Source organism: Homo sapiens, chromosome 14 (genome assembly GCF_000001405.40).
Source record: "Homo sapiens chromosome 14, GRCh38.p14 Primary Assembly".
In the NCBI taxonomy this organism is placed as follows: Eukaryota; Metazoa; Chordata; class Mammalia; order Primates; family Hominidae; genus Homo; species Homo sapiens.
The window spans coordinates 70,275,980-70,290,903 of NC_000014.9; the positions used below are offsets into that span (position 1 = coordinate 70,275,980).

The 14,924-nt window shown below is 40.9% G+C and overlaps 1 long non-coding RNA gene across 4 annotated transcripts in view, besides 1 other annotated feature; it reads left to right on the top strand.

Annotated features, from left to right (window-relative positions):
• The window catches only part of LOC101928046 (uncharacterized), a 60,419-nt gene that overhangs the window by 21,161 nt on the left and 24,334 nt on the right, over positions 1-14,924 (top strand). The gene's annotated exons all lie outside the window — the stretch shown is intronic.
• Positions 13,295-13,796: an enhancer, noted in NCBI's record as "H3K27ac hESC enhancer chr14:70755991-70756492 (GRCh37/hg19 assembly coordinates)". NCBI's record gives its function as "activates a minimal SCP1, AML or CMV promoter by ChIP-STARR-seq in naive H9 embryonic stem cells {active_cell/tissue: H9 hESC(naive)}" and the evidence as "EXISTENCE:reporter gene assay evidence [ECO:0000049][PMID:30033119]".

Sequence of the window (14,924 nt, forward strand, 5' to 3'; positions counted from 1 at the left end):
TTTTTCACTAAGCATAATGGTTTTGCAGTTCATCCATGTTGTAGCATGTGTCATCAGTATTTCATTACTTTTTATCGACAATATTCCATTGTATGAATAGGCCGTATTTCATTTATCCATTTATCAGTTGATGGCCATTTAGGTTGTTTCTACTTTTTGATTATTGTGAATAATGCTGCTGTGAACATTTATGTTTATGTGTTTGTGTGGTCATATGTTTTCATTTTTACTGGTGATCTTGGGGAAATTGTATTCAGGCATCTCAGGGAAGTAGCACCTTCAGTCCTCAGGCTGGGCTCAGCCTTACTCCCTCCTGCTGAGCTGGGAAGAGGCAGTGCTCCCAGTCCTAGATAGTGCATTGTCCAGTCCTAGACAGTGCATTGTCAGGCAACCAAGGAGCACTCTCAGGATAGCCACTAGCCAGTGTAAAGTATCTACAGAAGTCTACATACATACATAATGGTAAAAACCTTCTCTTTTACTATCAGGAAGAAGACATTGATATAGAACATTGTTTTGAAAATTCTAGCCAGTAAAAAGCAAAAAAAAAAAAAAAAAAAAAAAAAAGAGTTAAAAGTTACAAGGACCAGAAAGGAAATAAAGGAAAAACCGTTATTTTTCAGAGGTGCAGATAAAAACCAAAATAATTTCTAGTAAAATATTGGAATTAATGAGGGATTCTTGCAAGGTTACTGTATTTTGAATCAAAACCAAGACATGCATGTCAGTTCTTTTATATATAAAGCATCAAGCACCATCAAATCCGCAGATAATTTAAACATAATGCTTAATTTTAAAAAAGATTACATTTACAATAGCATATAAAAATAAGACAGCTAGGAATAAATAAAACCAAAAATGTACAAGCCTTTCCTGGGGGGAAACTGTAACACTTTACTGAAGGACATTGGAGAAGACTTCCATAAATGGGGAGTTATGCCATGTTTATACATAGGTAGACTCAATAATGCAAAGATATCAGTTTTCCTCAAATTGATTTATAGATTCAATTCAATGCCAATCAAAAGCTTAACACATTTTGGGTTTTGGGGGTCAGTGGCTCAATAAGTTGTGTCTAAAATTTTTACAGAACAAAGGGTCAAGAATAGTTTGGATACGACTAAAGAAAAAGAATAAAGTGGGGTTCTTACTCTATTAGATATCAAAGCTTATAACTAAGCTATATTCATAAGCCTGCATTGCACTTGTACAGAAACAGATGAAAACAGACTAATAAATAGATCAGAATGGAGAACTCAGAAACCACATACGTATGCAAGCTTAGTTTATGGCAGAGGTGATATTGTGGCTCAGTAGGTTAAGAATCCTTCAACAAATGGTGCTGGGAGAATTGTTTATCCAAATGGTTAGGTATGAAAACAGAATGTAAATTTTTATAGCCTCTTTGAACATGGATTTGTCATCATCAAATGTGTTAAAGCTGCGCGTACTGTATGATCCAGAAATTCCACTCCTGGGCATATATGCTGGAGAAACTTGCACATTTTCACCAGAGCTCATGTACGAGGATCCTCACAGTAATACTGTATGTAAGATTAAAAGATAAGGGGAAAAATCCAACATGTCCACTGAAAGGATAATTTGTAAATTACTTATGGACAATGGACATACAATATGGTAGAGACAATGAATGCATGCAGCTACATAAATCAATGTGAAGAAAACTTTCAAAGACAACATTGAGAAGAAAAAGTCCCCAAATAGTATATACCATAAGATTTCAGTTATAATGAATCAGTAAACATAAACCAGGCATGCTGGCACATGCTTGTAACCTCAGCTACTCAGGAGACTGGGGCAGGAGGATCCTGTGAGCCCAGGAGTTCAAGACCAGGCTGGGCAACATAGCAAGACCTCAACTCAAAAAAAACTCACACACACAATTTATAAATACATCTGGCCAGGCACAGTGGTTCACACCTATAATCCCAGCACTTTGGGAGGCCGAGGCGGGCGGATCACCTGAGGTCAGGAGTTCGAGACCAGCCTGACCAACATGAAGAAACCCCATCTCTACTAAAAATACAAAATTAGCCAGGCATGGTGGCACATGCCTGTAATCCCAGCTACTCGGGAGGCTGAGACAGGAAAATCGCTTGAACCTGGGAGGCAGAGGTTGCAGTGAGCCCAGATCGTGCCATTGCACTCCAGCTTGGGCAACAAGAGCGAAACTCCATGTCAAATAAATAAATACGTACATCTGTGTTAAAATGTAAACATAAAGTGAAACAAAGGGAGTGATAAATAACAAACTCAGGCTAATTAATACCCTGATGAGCTGCAGTGGGGATAGGTTTAGGGAGAGTGAAGCATGAAATCAGGGAGAAGCAATGCAAATATAATGTTCTATTTCTTATGATACTTCTAGAGCTTTTTTGTATATAATTGCTACTACTATGGCTTGAGAATGTTTGTGTCACTCCCAAATCCTTACGTTGAAACTTAATCCCCATTGTGGTGCTATTAAGAGGCGGAGTCTTTCGGGAAGTGATTAAGTCATCCAGTCTCCATCCTTGTGACTGGGATTAAAGACTTCCTAAAAGAAGCTTCGGAGAGCTGCCTGGTCCTTCCATCTCTTCTGCTACATGAGGGCACAGCTTCTGTCCTTTCCACCATCTGAGGTAACAGCACCAAGGCACCGTCTTGGAAGCACAGAGCAGCTTTCACGAGACACTGAATCTACTGGCACCTTGATCTTGGACCTGCCAGTTTCTGTAACTGTAAGAAATAAATTTCTGTTGTTTACAAATTACCCACCCTAAGGCATCTTGTTATAGTAGCAGAAACAGACTAAGACAGCTACTTTTCTATTGTAAACATATACATAAACATATAAATATTTCTTCGTATGCATTAAATATTGAATAAAATTGTTGTGGACACTGTAGAATCAAGATAGATCTCCACCAGAAATTTGTTGTAAACTACCCCCTACCAAGAGAGTATGAAAAGATTTAATACTCACATAATAAGGCTTTCTGGGGAAAGAAGTGGCTCCCAAGCCGGCCCAAAAACGTGTTGAGAAAGCAGAGAAAGTGGTTTGGGTTGGGGTTTTTATGGTGACTGGGGAGTGAGACTAAGTCAAGGGTTCCTATGCATTGTTTGAACTTCCTACTGGTACCAAAGGAGACATCACCTGGGCTTTATTTTTTTAATCAGTTTTCCGTATGTGGGACAGAGGGAAAGAAGAAGAGGCAAGGTTTAAAAGATGTCAGGATGAAACATAGAGTCAGACGTCAGACTCTTTATTATAATTTTTTTTTAAGACTGAGTCTTGCTCTATCTCCCAGAAGAGTTGCAGTGGCATAATCTTGGCTCACTGCAATCTCCACCACCCAGGTTCAAGCAATTCTCCTGCCTCCACCTCCTGAGTAGCTGGGATTACAGGTGCCCACCACCACGCCTGGCTAATTTTGTATTTTTAGTAGAGACAGGGTTTCACCATGCTGGCCAGGCTAGTCTCAAACTCCTGACCTCAATGGATCTGCTCACCTCAGCCTCCCAAAGTGCTGAGATTACAGGCATGAGTCACCGTGCCCGGCCACAAATATTTTTTGAACAAAATTGTGTATGAAACAAAAGAGACATCTGCCGTTCTAAAAATAACATGTCTATGGAGAAAAGAATGTCACCTTTCCCTTTCAGAAACCATTTCTTTTATCTTTTCTTCTCCCAGGAATTCCCCACTGGGAGGAATAACTGTAGTCACAATGTTAAACTTGGTAGAAATAGAAGTTATTTTTCCCTAGAAAAATAATGCAGGAACAGAAAACCAAAAACCGCATGCTTTCACTTATAAGTGGGAGCTAAATGATAAGAACACATGGACACACAGAAGGGAACAACAGACACTGAGGTCTCCTTGAGAGTGGGGGGAGGGAGGAGGGAGAGGAGCAGAAAAAAATAACCATTGGGTACTGGGCTTAGTACCTAGGTGATGAAGTAATCTGTTACAACAAACCCCTGTGACATGAGCTTACCTATGTAATAAGCCTGCCCATGTACCCCTGAACCTAAAATAAAAGTTTAAAACAAAAAAGAACACTTTTCTGTTTAGACTTTTTGTATCACTGCTGGTGTAACAATAAAAAATATATTTTCCTAAAAAGAAAAAGAAATTGAACTTATTTACTATGCCTCAGAAAAATCAAATATCAAGGAGGTTAACTACAACAACACAAAGTTATAAACCAAATCCTGTGGAGGAAAAGAATGAGAATTACTTGTGATGTTCAAAAGTTCCCGGGCTTATACAGTGGAACAGATATCATTTGGGCCTTTATCTAGTTGAGGCCAAAAGGAATCATTTGCTTTACTGACATGATAGTGAAGAAATTCCGCACCTGTATATCTACTAATTGCAAATGAACATCAGGCTTGAAGCCTTCTCCCAGAAAAAGGTATTTCATTCCTACTGGAAAGATATAGATGGCCAGGCGCGGTGACTCACGCCTGTAATCCCCAGCACTTTGGGAGGCTGAGGCGGGCAGATCACGAGGTCAGAAGATCAAGACCATCCTGGCAAACATGATGAAATCCCATCTCTACTAAAATACAAAAAATTAGCCGGGTATGGTGGCATGCGTCTGTAGTCCCAGCTACTCGGGAGGCAGAGGCAGGGGAATCGCTTGAACCCAGGAGGCAGAGGTTGCAGTGAGCCGAGATTGCACCACTGCACTCCAGCCTGGTGACAGAGCAAGACTCCATCTCAAAAAAAAAAAAAAAAAAAAAAAAAAAAATATATATATATATATATATATATATTTATATACATAGACAATGAAATACAAATGTATATCAATTTTTGATCCACCGACTGGGTAATGCTGTGAGTATAACAATGAAAGTGATTTGATCTCTGCTCTCTAGGGGCTCACGGTCTCTTGTATTACTTTTGCAGCCTAAAGTGTGAAAATGTGGATTTATAGAAAAACTGCAGCCGGAGTAAAAGTTCAAATGATAAAATAATTAATCAGATTTCTTTTAACATACTTCAATATTAAAGAATTCATGAGAACCACTGGGAACTGTATCTACTGCATGATATGTGCAAAGGAAATACCTATGCTTAAGGCAGTTCTTGATAAACAGGTTGGGGGTGGAAGATGAGACCCTGAGAACATCAGTCAGTAGAGCTAAAGGTGGAGTAACAGGTAGCTCAGTTACTTTGCATTCACAAAGATTAGAAATGTGGAATGCAGGAGGAATGAGAAAGGGTGAGTTTAGAGTGGAAATGTCTGAGGAACTTCTAGGAACACCATTATTAAATATATACCCTGAAATTACACATTGTTGGCACAAATTAAATGAAAACTTGTTCATCACTCTAATATTTAATAAAGTCTTCTGTACACACACACATACACAAAAACACACACACAAAAAAAACACATACAAACACATGCATAAACACAGACACAAACACAAACATGTAAACACACACAGACCCTTTTGAGAGGGCTGTTTTGAGTGGAAAGAAAAGAGGCTGAGTTCAACATCTGTTTTAATGCATAATAATCACCTCAGCATAATAATAATGTTAACATGTTGATTATGTGCCAAGTGGAATTCTAACATCCATACATACACATATTTAAATGCTTTATAGTAACTATCTTATTTAATGAAACTCAGTGCAAACCTATAAGGTAAGCAATCGTATTTTCACCATTTTGTGAGTGAGGCACCAGAAGCTGAGAGGTTAAGTGATTTGTCCAAGGTAACGCAGCAGGTAAGAGGCAAAACTAGATTCTAACTTCGGCAGGCTGGTAAACAGGGTGTGGAAATTATCTATAAATGGAATGCACTCAGTAGAATTGGAATGTGGAGTCAATGGGGGATCCTAGTGGACATGGGCCCATCCAGAAATTCACAGAAATCTTAGGGAGGGATTTAGAATTTCTGCAGTTTAGGAATGGTGGTTTAAATCAGTCTTAGCCATGTTTTAAAAATCACCCCAACTTGTTCATTCATATTTCCTCTGACACACACACACAGTTCCAAGTTCCTTCATTTCCATCTGAGAGTTCATAAACAAAGAGAAAGCTGAGTACCTATACTTCATAAACACCTCCCCATTCTACCCAGAGCTCTGGTTCCAGCCAGCTTCCTCTTGTTAAGCCCCAGCTGGGGCTACTTGGCACTGCTTCCTTGGTTACATATGATGCTCCTTGTTCAGTCCCTTTCTCACAGGGCTCTTTCACTGTCTGCCGTAGATGTCTGCCTGCCTTTTTTTTTTTCTTTGAGACGGAGTCTTGTTCTGTCGCCGGTCTGGAGTGCAGTGGCACCATCTCGGCTCACTGCAACCTCCACCTCCCAGGTTCAAGCGATTCCCCTGCCTCAGCCTCCGGAGTAGCTGGAACTACAGACGCGTGCCACCGCACGTGGCTGATTTTTATATTTTTAGTAGAGACGGGGTTTCACCATGTTAGCCAGGATGGTCTCAATCTCCTGACCTCGTGATCCACCTGCCTCGGCCTCCCAAAGTGCTGGGATTACAGGCGTGAGCCCAGCCATCAGCCTGCCTTTTAAATTCCTCATTACTCCCACCACATTGTGTTCTTGCACAGAAAGCAACCAATGTGAGAGGGAGATCTCAAACAGCAGTCCTAGGCTGTTAGCATTCAGATGTTCCCTACCTCTCCTCAGCAAGCTTTCCTGCCCTAGTGTCACTTGCCTTCTTTCTCCTGCCTAAGAGGAGTGCAGAATCTTCCTATAGGCAGCACTCATACGCAGGGCATCCAGGAAACAAACAACAACAACAACAACAAAAAAACATGAGAAAGGAGTGGCAGCATCTGGAAACATTTTCACCTAAACTCCAGTTTCACTTCTGTAAGGCTCTGGCCAAGTGGATCTCTGTCAATCGAAATGGCTGTGCGTGTATGTAAATGTTTGATGTGCAGTATACACATGTGATTATAACCCCCTCCTTATTTGGAACATAGCCAAAATGCCAGGCATTGTTCTGAATGCTTTATATTTATTCACTTCATCCTCACCAGGTGAGGAACATGAGACCTGGAATGGTTAAATAACTTGCCCAAGGTAGTAGATGAGTGCCAGGTGAGAGGAGGCTTCCTGACGTTTCTTTTAATTGTCCTTGAATGGATGATTCTACACAACATAAGACTAGCCATATTCTGGGTTTTATGTGCAGCTCAGAGGCCTCTGGGAAATAACTATTGGGGTTTACACTTAGAGTTAAAATATATTCATTCCTACCTGATGGTGAGAGTAGCCAAGCTAGAGGGAGGGAAAGCAGGTCTCCATAAGCAATGAAGGAACTAGACATCCTGTGTTGGAGTTAACCGTGATGCCTGAGTGGCAATGGCAGTGTGCCCAATGCCATGTGAGTCTGCCCTTGTGCGTGCCTTCACTCAGCCTCCCCCATCCCTTTAAGGAAGCATCTGTGCACCCAGGAAGAGCAGAATGTGGGAAACATGAAACATTAAAGTGCTGTGCCGCCAGAGCCTGAGCAGCTCCCCTTCCAAAAGGGCTAAATAATTCTTCCCTACAAACAGAGCTAATTCAGAAGTGAGCATCTCTGGGTGGTAGCAACAAGGAGGGCAGGTGCCTGAACTCTAAATAGCTTTGGAGGCAGAGAGCAAGCCAGCACCAACACGAAGGAATGTCAGGAGAGTTGGTGGGCTGAGGACAAGAGAAGTGTAGAGGAGAGTGTGAAAGCTGACGAATTCAAGATGACCATAGGGTAGAACTGCAGAGCAAAGGCCCAAGAGCCCAGCAGTTTAAGCTGACATTCACCAGAGCAAAGGGCAACTTTTGATAATGTGTACAATGGTCCTGCCCTTTGGGGTCCATGTAAGAGACACAAATGGGGAAATCCTTAAGTCCTGCCCTTTGCAATGGGGAATGTTGAAGACCAAGAAGCAAAGTGCTCAGATGATCTCATCCAGGACCCCTAACAGGGATGTTCTCAGCGACAAGTATGCTCTGAACACACACACACACACACACACACACACACACACACATATATGTAAATTCATGTGTATACTTTCATTAACTCTTTTGAGACAGAGTCTTGCTGTGTAGCCCAGGCTGGAGTGCAGTGGTGTGATCATAGCTCACTGCAGCCTCAACTTCCCCAGGCTCTAGCGATCCTCCCACTTCAGCCTCCCAAGTAGCGCACCACCATGCCTGGCTAATTGTATTTTTTGTAGAGACAAGGTTTCATTATGTTGCCCAGGCTTGTCACAAACTCCTGGGCTCAAGTGATCTGTCCACCTTAGCCCTGTACTGGGATTACAGGTGTGAGCCACTGTGCCTGGCTACATTTATGTGTACACTTAATTTCTTTTTATGTAAAATATACGCTTTAACTTCTTCCTTTCTCTGGAACTGTTTCTTCCCCTTCTGTAAAATAAGTTTATACTAAGATCCCTTTCAGCCCCACATTTTCATCTCTGAGCAAGTGATTAGAGCGTGCTGCTCAAAGTCTTTCAGTAAATGTCACCATTTTCTATAATGGCCCTTATTTCTGTTTGTTAATTTCCATCCTGGTGGCCGCCACCCAGGCTCATATTCTTACCTCTTTATTCCTGGACTACTGCTGCATCTGCTCTACCAGTCTCTCAACATCACCCTTCAAGTTATTCCTGCCACATTCCCATTTCCAAGCCTACCCTTCCTATTTAAAAAATTTTTTATAAATAGAGATTGGGTCTCACCACATTGCCCAGGCTGGCCTCAAACTCCTGAGCTCAAGCAATCTCCCTGCCTTGGCCTCCCAAAGTGTTGGGATTACAGGCATGGGCCATCGCTGCCAGCCCAAACCTACACTTATAACAAATTTTCTGGTTTTGACATCTTCAGGGTTACCCTTTGCCAGTGTAAAAAAGGTTGTCCATAATATGACTGTATTCGTCCATTCTCACATTAAAGAAATACCTGAGACTGGGTAATTTACCAACAAAAGATGTTTCATTGGCTTACGGTTCTGCAGGCTGCACAGGAAGTGTAGTGGCTTCTGCTTTTGGGGAGGCCTCAGGGAGCTTCCAATCATGGCAGAAGGCAAAGGGGGACCAGATGTCTCACATGGCAGGAGCAAAAGCAAGAGGGCAAGGTGGGAGGTGCTACACACTTTTACATAATCAGATCTCCTGAGAACTCACTCACTATCTCGAGGACAGTACCAAGGGGGATGGTGCTAAACTATTCATGAGAAATCCACTCCCATGATCCAGTCACCTCCCACCCGGTCCCACCTCCAATATTATAATTAATGTTGGGAATTAATTGTTGAACATAAGATTTGGGTAGGAACACAAATCCAAACCATGTCAATGACCCTAACCAACTTAGTCTTCTCTCTCTGGATACCACTCTACTTCTCTGTCCCCCTTAACTGCAAAATATTTCTCAGAAGTTTCCCACATCCACTGTTTTCAATTCCTTACTTCCCATTCTTTCTTCAATCCACTCCAATGAGGTTTCATGCCTATTCTTCCTCAGTAAAGATCCTGATGACCTCCATGTTGCCAAACTCAATGATCAGTTCTGTATCCTATTCTCATGTAATGTCTCAGAAGCATTTGACACAGGTGGATACACTCTTCTTGACTCCCAGAGTCATTCCAGAGTGAATCATTGCAGTTTCAAAAACTAAGTAGATGATACAGGTGAACAAAATGATCCAGGAAGACAGAGAATCCACTGAGACCTCCTTTCCTTGCCCTGGCATCCCCTGCTAAAAAGGATCATGATGGATTCCTCATATCTTTCTTTTCCAAAATCCTTATGTTCCTTCTCTGTCATCCTCTGAGCTATTCAAATTCCACTGCTTTTCAAAGGATTTGCTCAGCAACTGCTAAGGGAGCCAAGTGTCCTACCAACCTCTTTAAATGCCTTTCAAGTAGAACTAGAGATGTGTTAATTAAAATGATGGCTATATTTCTCACTCACTTACATGGATACAGTTTTATAATAAGGATGTTTCTTTAGAAGCCTGGGGCTTCCCAGGGACGATCTCTGGTTTTCTGCCATCCTACGATGCACATCCCACAAGTGCATCCACACCAAAACTAAGAAGTAAATGTGTAGAGATCTGGGATGATTTGAATTTGCCATTTATCCCTAAGAATTTTTTTTGTTTGGAAAAGACTCTTTGCTATTTACCAGAATGTCTTCATGCAACAAGAATTGAGAGAAATATCCATTATTCAGAAGCTAGGTGATTACTTCATCTCAGTTCTTAATAAAGTTTTATGAAGTCCCTAGGCAGTCTGTCATCTTTCCATCTTTCAGAGTCTTCCTATATTTGTTAAGTCCAGGGTTTTTTAGTTGTAAAGGGGGATACTAGGGATAAATGGGGATACTCCACCTTGGACAAAACTAGAAGTCCTCTACCCATACATTTTTAAAGGGATAGGTATTATTTTAACATATAGATATATCATAATTATATATACCTCTATATACATATATCAGAGATATATGTGTGCCAGACATATATGGTATATATAAATTATGATATAATCTATTTATATAGAGAGATACTCTTTTTTCTTCAAAATTACAAACAATATTGTAAAGAACATCTCAATATTTACTTTGCAGAGGTGGAAATGGTAGGCCAAAAAGGATAGCTATTTAAAATTTTTGGTACACTTATCAAATTTACATCAAATTAATAACAGTGAATGTGCATTATTTCTACACATTTTCATTAATCATGTACATTGTCAAATGTTTTCATCTTTGCTTATCTGACAGGTAGAGAATTCTACTTAAAATCTCATTGGTTCATAGTTGATATGGTTTAGCTGTGTCCACATTTAAATCTCAGCTTGAATTTTATCTTCCAGAATTCCCATGAGTTGTGGGAGGGACCCAGGGGGAGGTAATTGAATCATGGGGTCCAGTCTTTCCCATGCTATTCTGGTGATATTGAATAAGTCTCAAGAGATCTGTTGGGTCTATCGGGGGTTTCTGCTTTTGCTTCCTCCTCATTTTCTCTTGCCGCTGCCATGTAAGAAGTGCCTTTCACCTCCCGCCACGATTCTGAGGCCTCCCCAGCCATGTGGAACTGAAAGTCCAATTGAACCTCTTTTTGTTCCCAGTTTCAGATATGTCTTTATCAGCAGCATGAAAACAGACTAATACAGTAGTGCTTTGGATATTATGAAGGTTGAAAAGAACCTAAGGGTTAAGTGATAACTTGTAGATGGCTTTATAATTGCTATTCAAGTATTTTAGTGTGTTGAGATATATATATCTCCAAAATAATAAAAATCTTCTTGTTGTAGGCAGATGTCTACCTTATAATCCCTGGACACTAAATATGTTATTTTACATGGCAGGAAGGGATTAAGGTTGAAGATGGAATTAAGGTTGCTGATGGCTGACTTCAAGATAGGAAGATTATCCTGGATTATCCTGGGGGGCCCAGTGTAATCATAAAGGTCCTTAAAGGTGAAAAAGGGAGGCAGAAGTGGAGGTCAGAGTGATGTGATGTGAGATGGATTCAATTTGCCATTGCTGCCCTTGAAAATAGAAGAGAAATGCAAACAAAGAATGAGGGCAGCCTCCAGAAGCTGGAAATGGCAAAGAAATAAATTTTCTCTTTGATTCTCCAGAAAGGGATGCGGCCCTGCCAACACCTTTTATTTTGGCGCAGTGACACCTATGTCAGATGTCTGATTTCAAGAATTGTAAAATAATACATTTGTGTTGTTTTAGCCACTAAGTTTGTGAGAGCTTGTTAACACAATAGAAATCTAATACAGATAGTAGGGTGGTACACACACATTGCAAAAAAATAGAAAGCCGCGTGTAGAATTTGGGAAGCACTGTGGGCTGAGAAGATACTGAGGTACATATGCATGTCTGGGGCATAACTGTCCATGGAAAGTAGGATTAGCTTGGAGGTGGACAGAGTTACACTTTTCTGCTGAAACTTTCTCTTAACCTAACTACATTATAGCAAACCGAAGTTAACTAGAATATGAAGCACTTTCTCTTGCTGGCCGTAAGGCCCACATTAGGAGACTACAATAGCAATATCAAAATCCTTGTTACATTCAACATTGCACCTGCCTATCAATATAATTTCAAGCAATGTTTATCCAATGGTGAAAAGCAACATATGCATGGTGGAAAATTTCCTAGTTGGAATTCAGAAAACAGGGCATGATAAAAAGGACTGGCAATCTGTTAATGGACTCCAAGGAAATCCCAGTAAATTGAGATTACATGTATCACTCAAATTATAGAGAAAGAAGGCACCCTTTTCTTCATCTTTTAATTAATGATTGAGGCTGGGAAGCCAGACCACTTTCCTCTCTACACAGGTTCACTTACTAGGTTAAAGACATGAGCCTAGCTTCTCGTCCAAGTATTTAAAGTGGCAAATGGGCCAGGCGTTGTGGCTTACGCCTATAATCCCAGCACTTTGGGAAGCCAAGGCAGGAGGTTCAGTTGAGATTAGGAGTTTGAGATCAGCCTGGCCAATATGATGAAACCCCATCTCCACTAAAAATACAAAAAATAGGCAGGTGTGGTGGCACACGTCTATCATTCCAGCTACTTAGGAGGCTGAGGCATGAGAATTGCTTGCGCCCAGGAGGCGGAGGTTGCAGTGAGCCAAGATTGCACCACTGCACTCCAGCCTGGGTGACAGAGCAAGACTCTGTCTCAAAAAAATAATTAAAATGGCAATTGCCATTTTGCCCACACAATTGGCTACTTCATGTTTTTGTGTATAGTAGCTATGTGGGCTACCACAAAAATAATGGGGAGAAAAGGAAGTAGCACTGATAGGGGAAAAACTTTGATTCCTACAAAAGAGCAGAGATATAAAGGTCAGACTAACTTACTAACATTGCTGTTCTTTAGAGAGAAAAACTATCTGTATGTAAATACACACATATATACACACAAATATATATACATGTATGTGTGTGTATATGGCAGATAGTATTTTCCAGAGATAGCTTCCATCCCACATTTTTTATGCTATGTAACCTTGCTATTCTGCCACCAAGAGGTGGAATCTCAATTACCCTACCCTTGAATCTGGGCTTAGCTGGCCTTAGTGGTTGTTTGTAACTACCAGAGTGCAACAGAAATGAACCTGATTACTTCTGAGGCTAGGTAAAAATGTAAAATAAAATAATAAAATACAATAAAAAATTTTTAAAAAGCTTTCACCTGTTCACGTGGAACTAAGTCTCCAGATTTTACCTCCCAGAGAAGCTCCCTCTGGGAACCCAACCCTCTCCTAAGAGGCATCTGCCAGGCAAAAGCAATCGATCCACCGTAACATATTGCGGGTCCAGCCGGAAATTGGAACGTCAGCGTTTTCATTCCGGAACGCCTACATGTAGTTGAGATTTAGGGACTTGAATCACGTTCGCTGTCACCATCCAACTGATACGGAAACCGGTACTTCCCCTTTTCTAACATCTTCTCAGAACACTCCAAGGCACATAGCCACTCGATAAAATCAGCTAAGGAAAAAAGGTACTTTGAAGCTAGTACCCTAGCCTCTATGGCTATTTGTCAGATGGGAAGTTTAGCAAATTAATAAAAGCTATTTATAAAAATGTGAGGAAAGTTTAGGTTGAACCCTGATCAACAAACATAATGTCTTGCTATCATTGAACCATTAATGCAAATGCTTACACTAAAGCCAGGCACGGTGGTTCACACCTGAAATCCCAGCAGGCGTGGTGGGTGGATTACCTGAGGTCAGTAGTTCGAGACCAGCCTGGCCAACATGGCAAAACTCCACCTCTACTAAAAATACAAAACTTAGCCGGGTGTGGTGGTGCACACCTGTAATCCCAGCACTTTGGGAGGCTGAGGCAGGAGAATCGCTGGAACACAGGAGGCGGAGGTTGCGGTGAGTTGAGATCGAGCCACTGCAGTCCAGCCTGGGCAACAGAGCAAGACTCGGTCGCGAAAAAAAAGAAAAGAAAAAGAAAAAAACAACAATGAATGCTTACACTTAGAAATGGTTTGTCATCTTCGTCTAGGAATGCCTATTTTCCATTCATTCAATGAACATCCAGCCCACCTTGTGCCCTGTGATTGGAAGGCTTTAGGAATACCGAGATGAAAAGATATGATCCCTGTCTTAAAGAATCTAGTAATCTAATGGGCACCTGAATGAACGTTTGTCTACAGTGTTAGGTTAGGAAACAGCCCCAACACATGCCATTTGCCAGGGGGAGTCAGAGCCTCACCTATTTATTTGGGGTGACAATCATACAGAGTGCAAGTGACATATTTACCATGCTGTATCCCTGAAGTCTTTTCATCTGTCCCAGCTTCTCTATTGCCATTGAAAGTTTTCTGTTTTAATCCCTTGTCTTTCCACCTATTAGAGTGGACCCCCATTGAGTCTCCAGAGGAGAAACTCCTGATCTCTACACCCATGATTACAGGGTTAAAACAGAGAAAAAAGAAACTTCACTGTGATTCTCAAGTCTACCTTTGACACTGCTGAAAGTTACCTAAGAGAGATAAATAATTCTGGGATTCTTCTGCTTTTGCCTGAAAGTGTTCACTCTGATTTTCTTAGCAAGGAATTTAAGGCCCCTTGTAATATGATGTTGATCTGCCTTTCTGCCACTGTTTCCCATTAACTTCATATTCCATCCTAAGGAAGACAACATTTCCTGAGTATACCATGAATTTCCTCAACTTCAAAATGCAGCTCTAGTGAAATCAGGTTCATGACGTTTTCCCCATTCTTCAGACAATGTAAATTACTCTCTCCTCAGAGCCTTTGACTCCTATATCTAGAAAGGCACTTATAGTCTATAAACACTTTTAACGTATAAATTGGTGCTTTGACTAAAGTATAAGCAATATGAAGACAGGAAAGAATCTTCCTCTTTGAATCGCCAGCATCTAGAAAAGTCCCTAGCATATGGCAA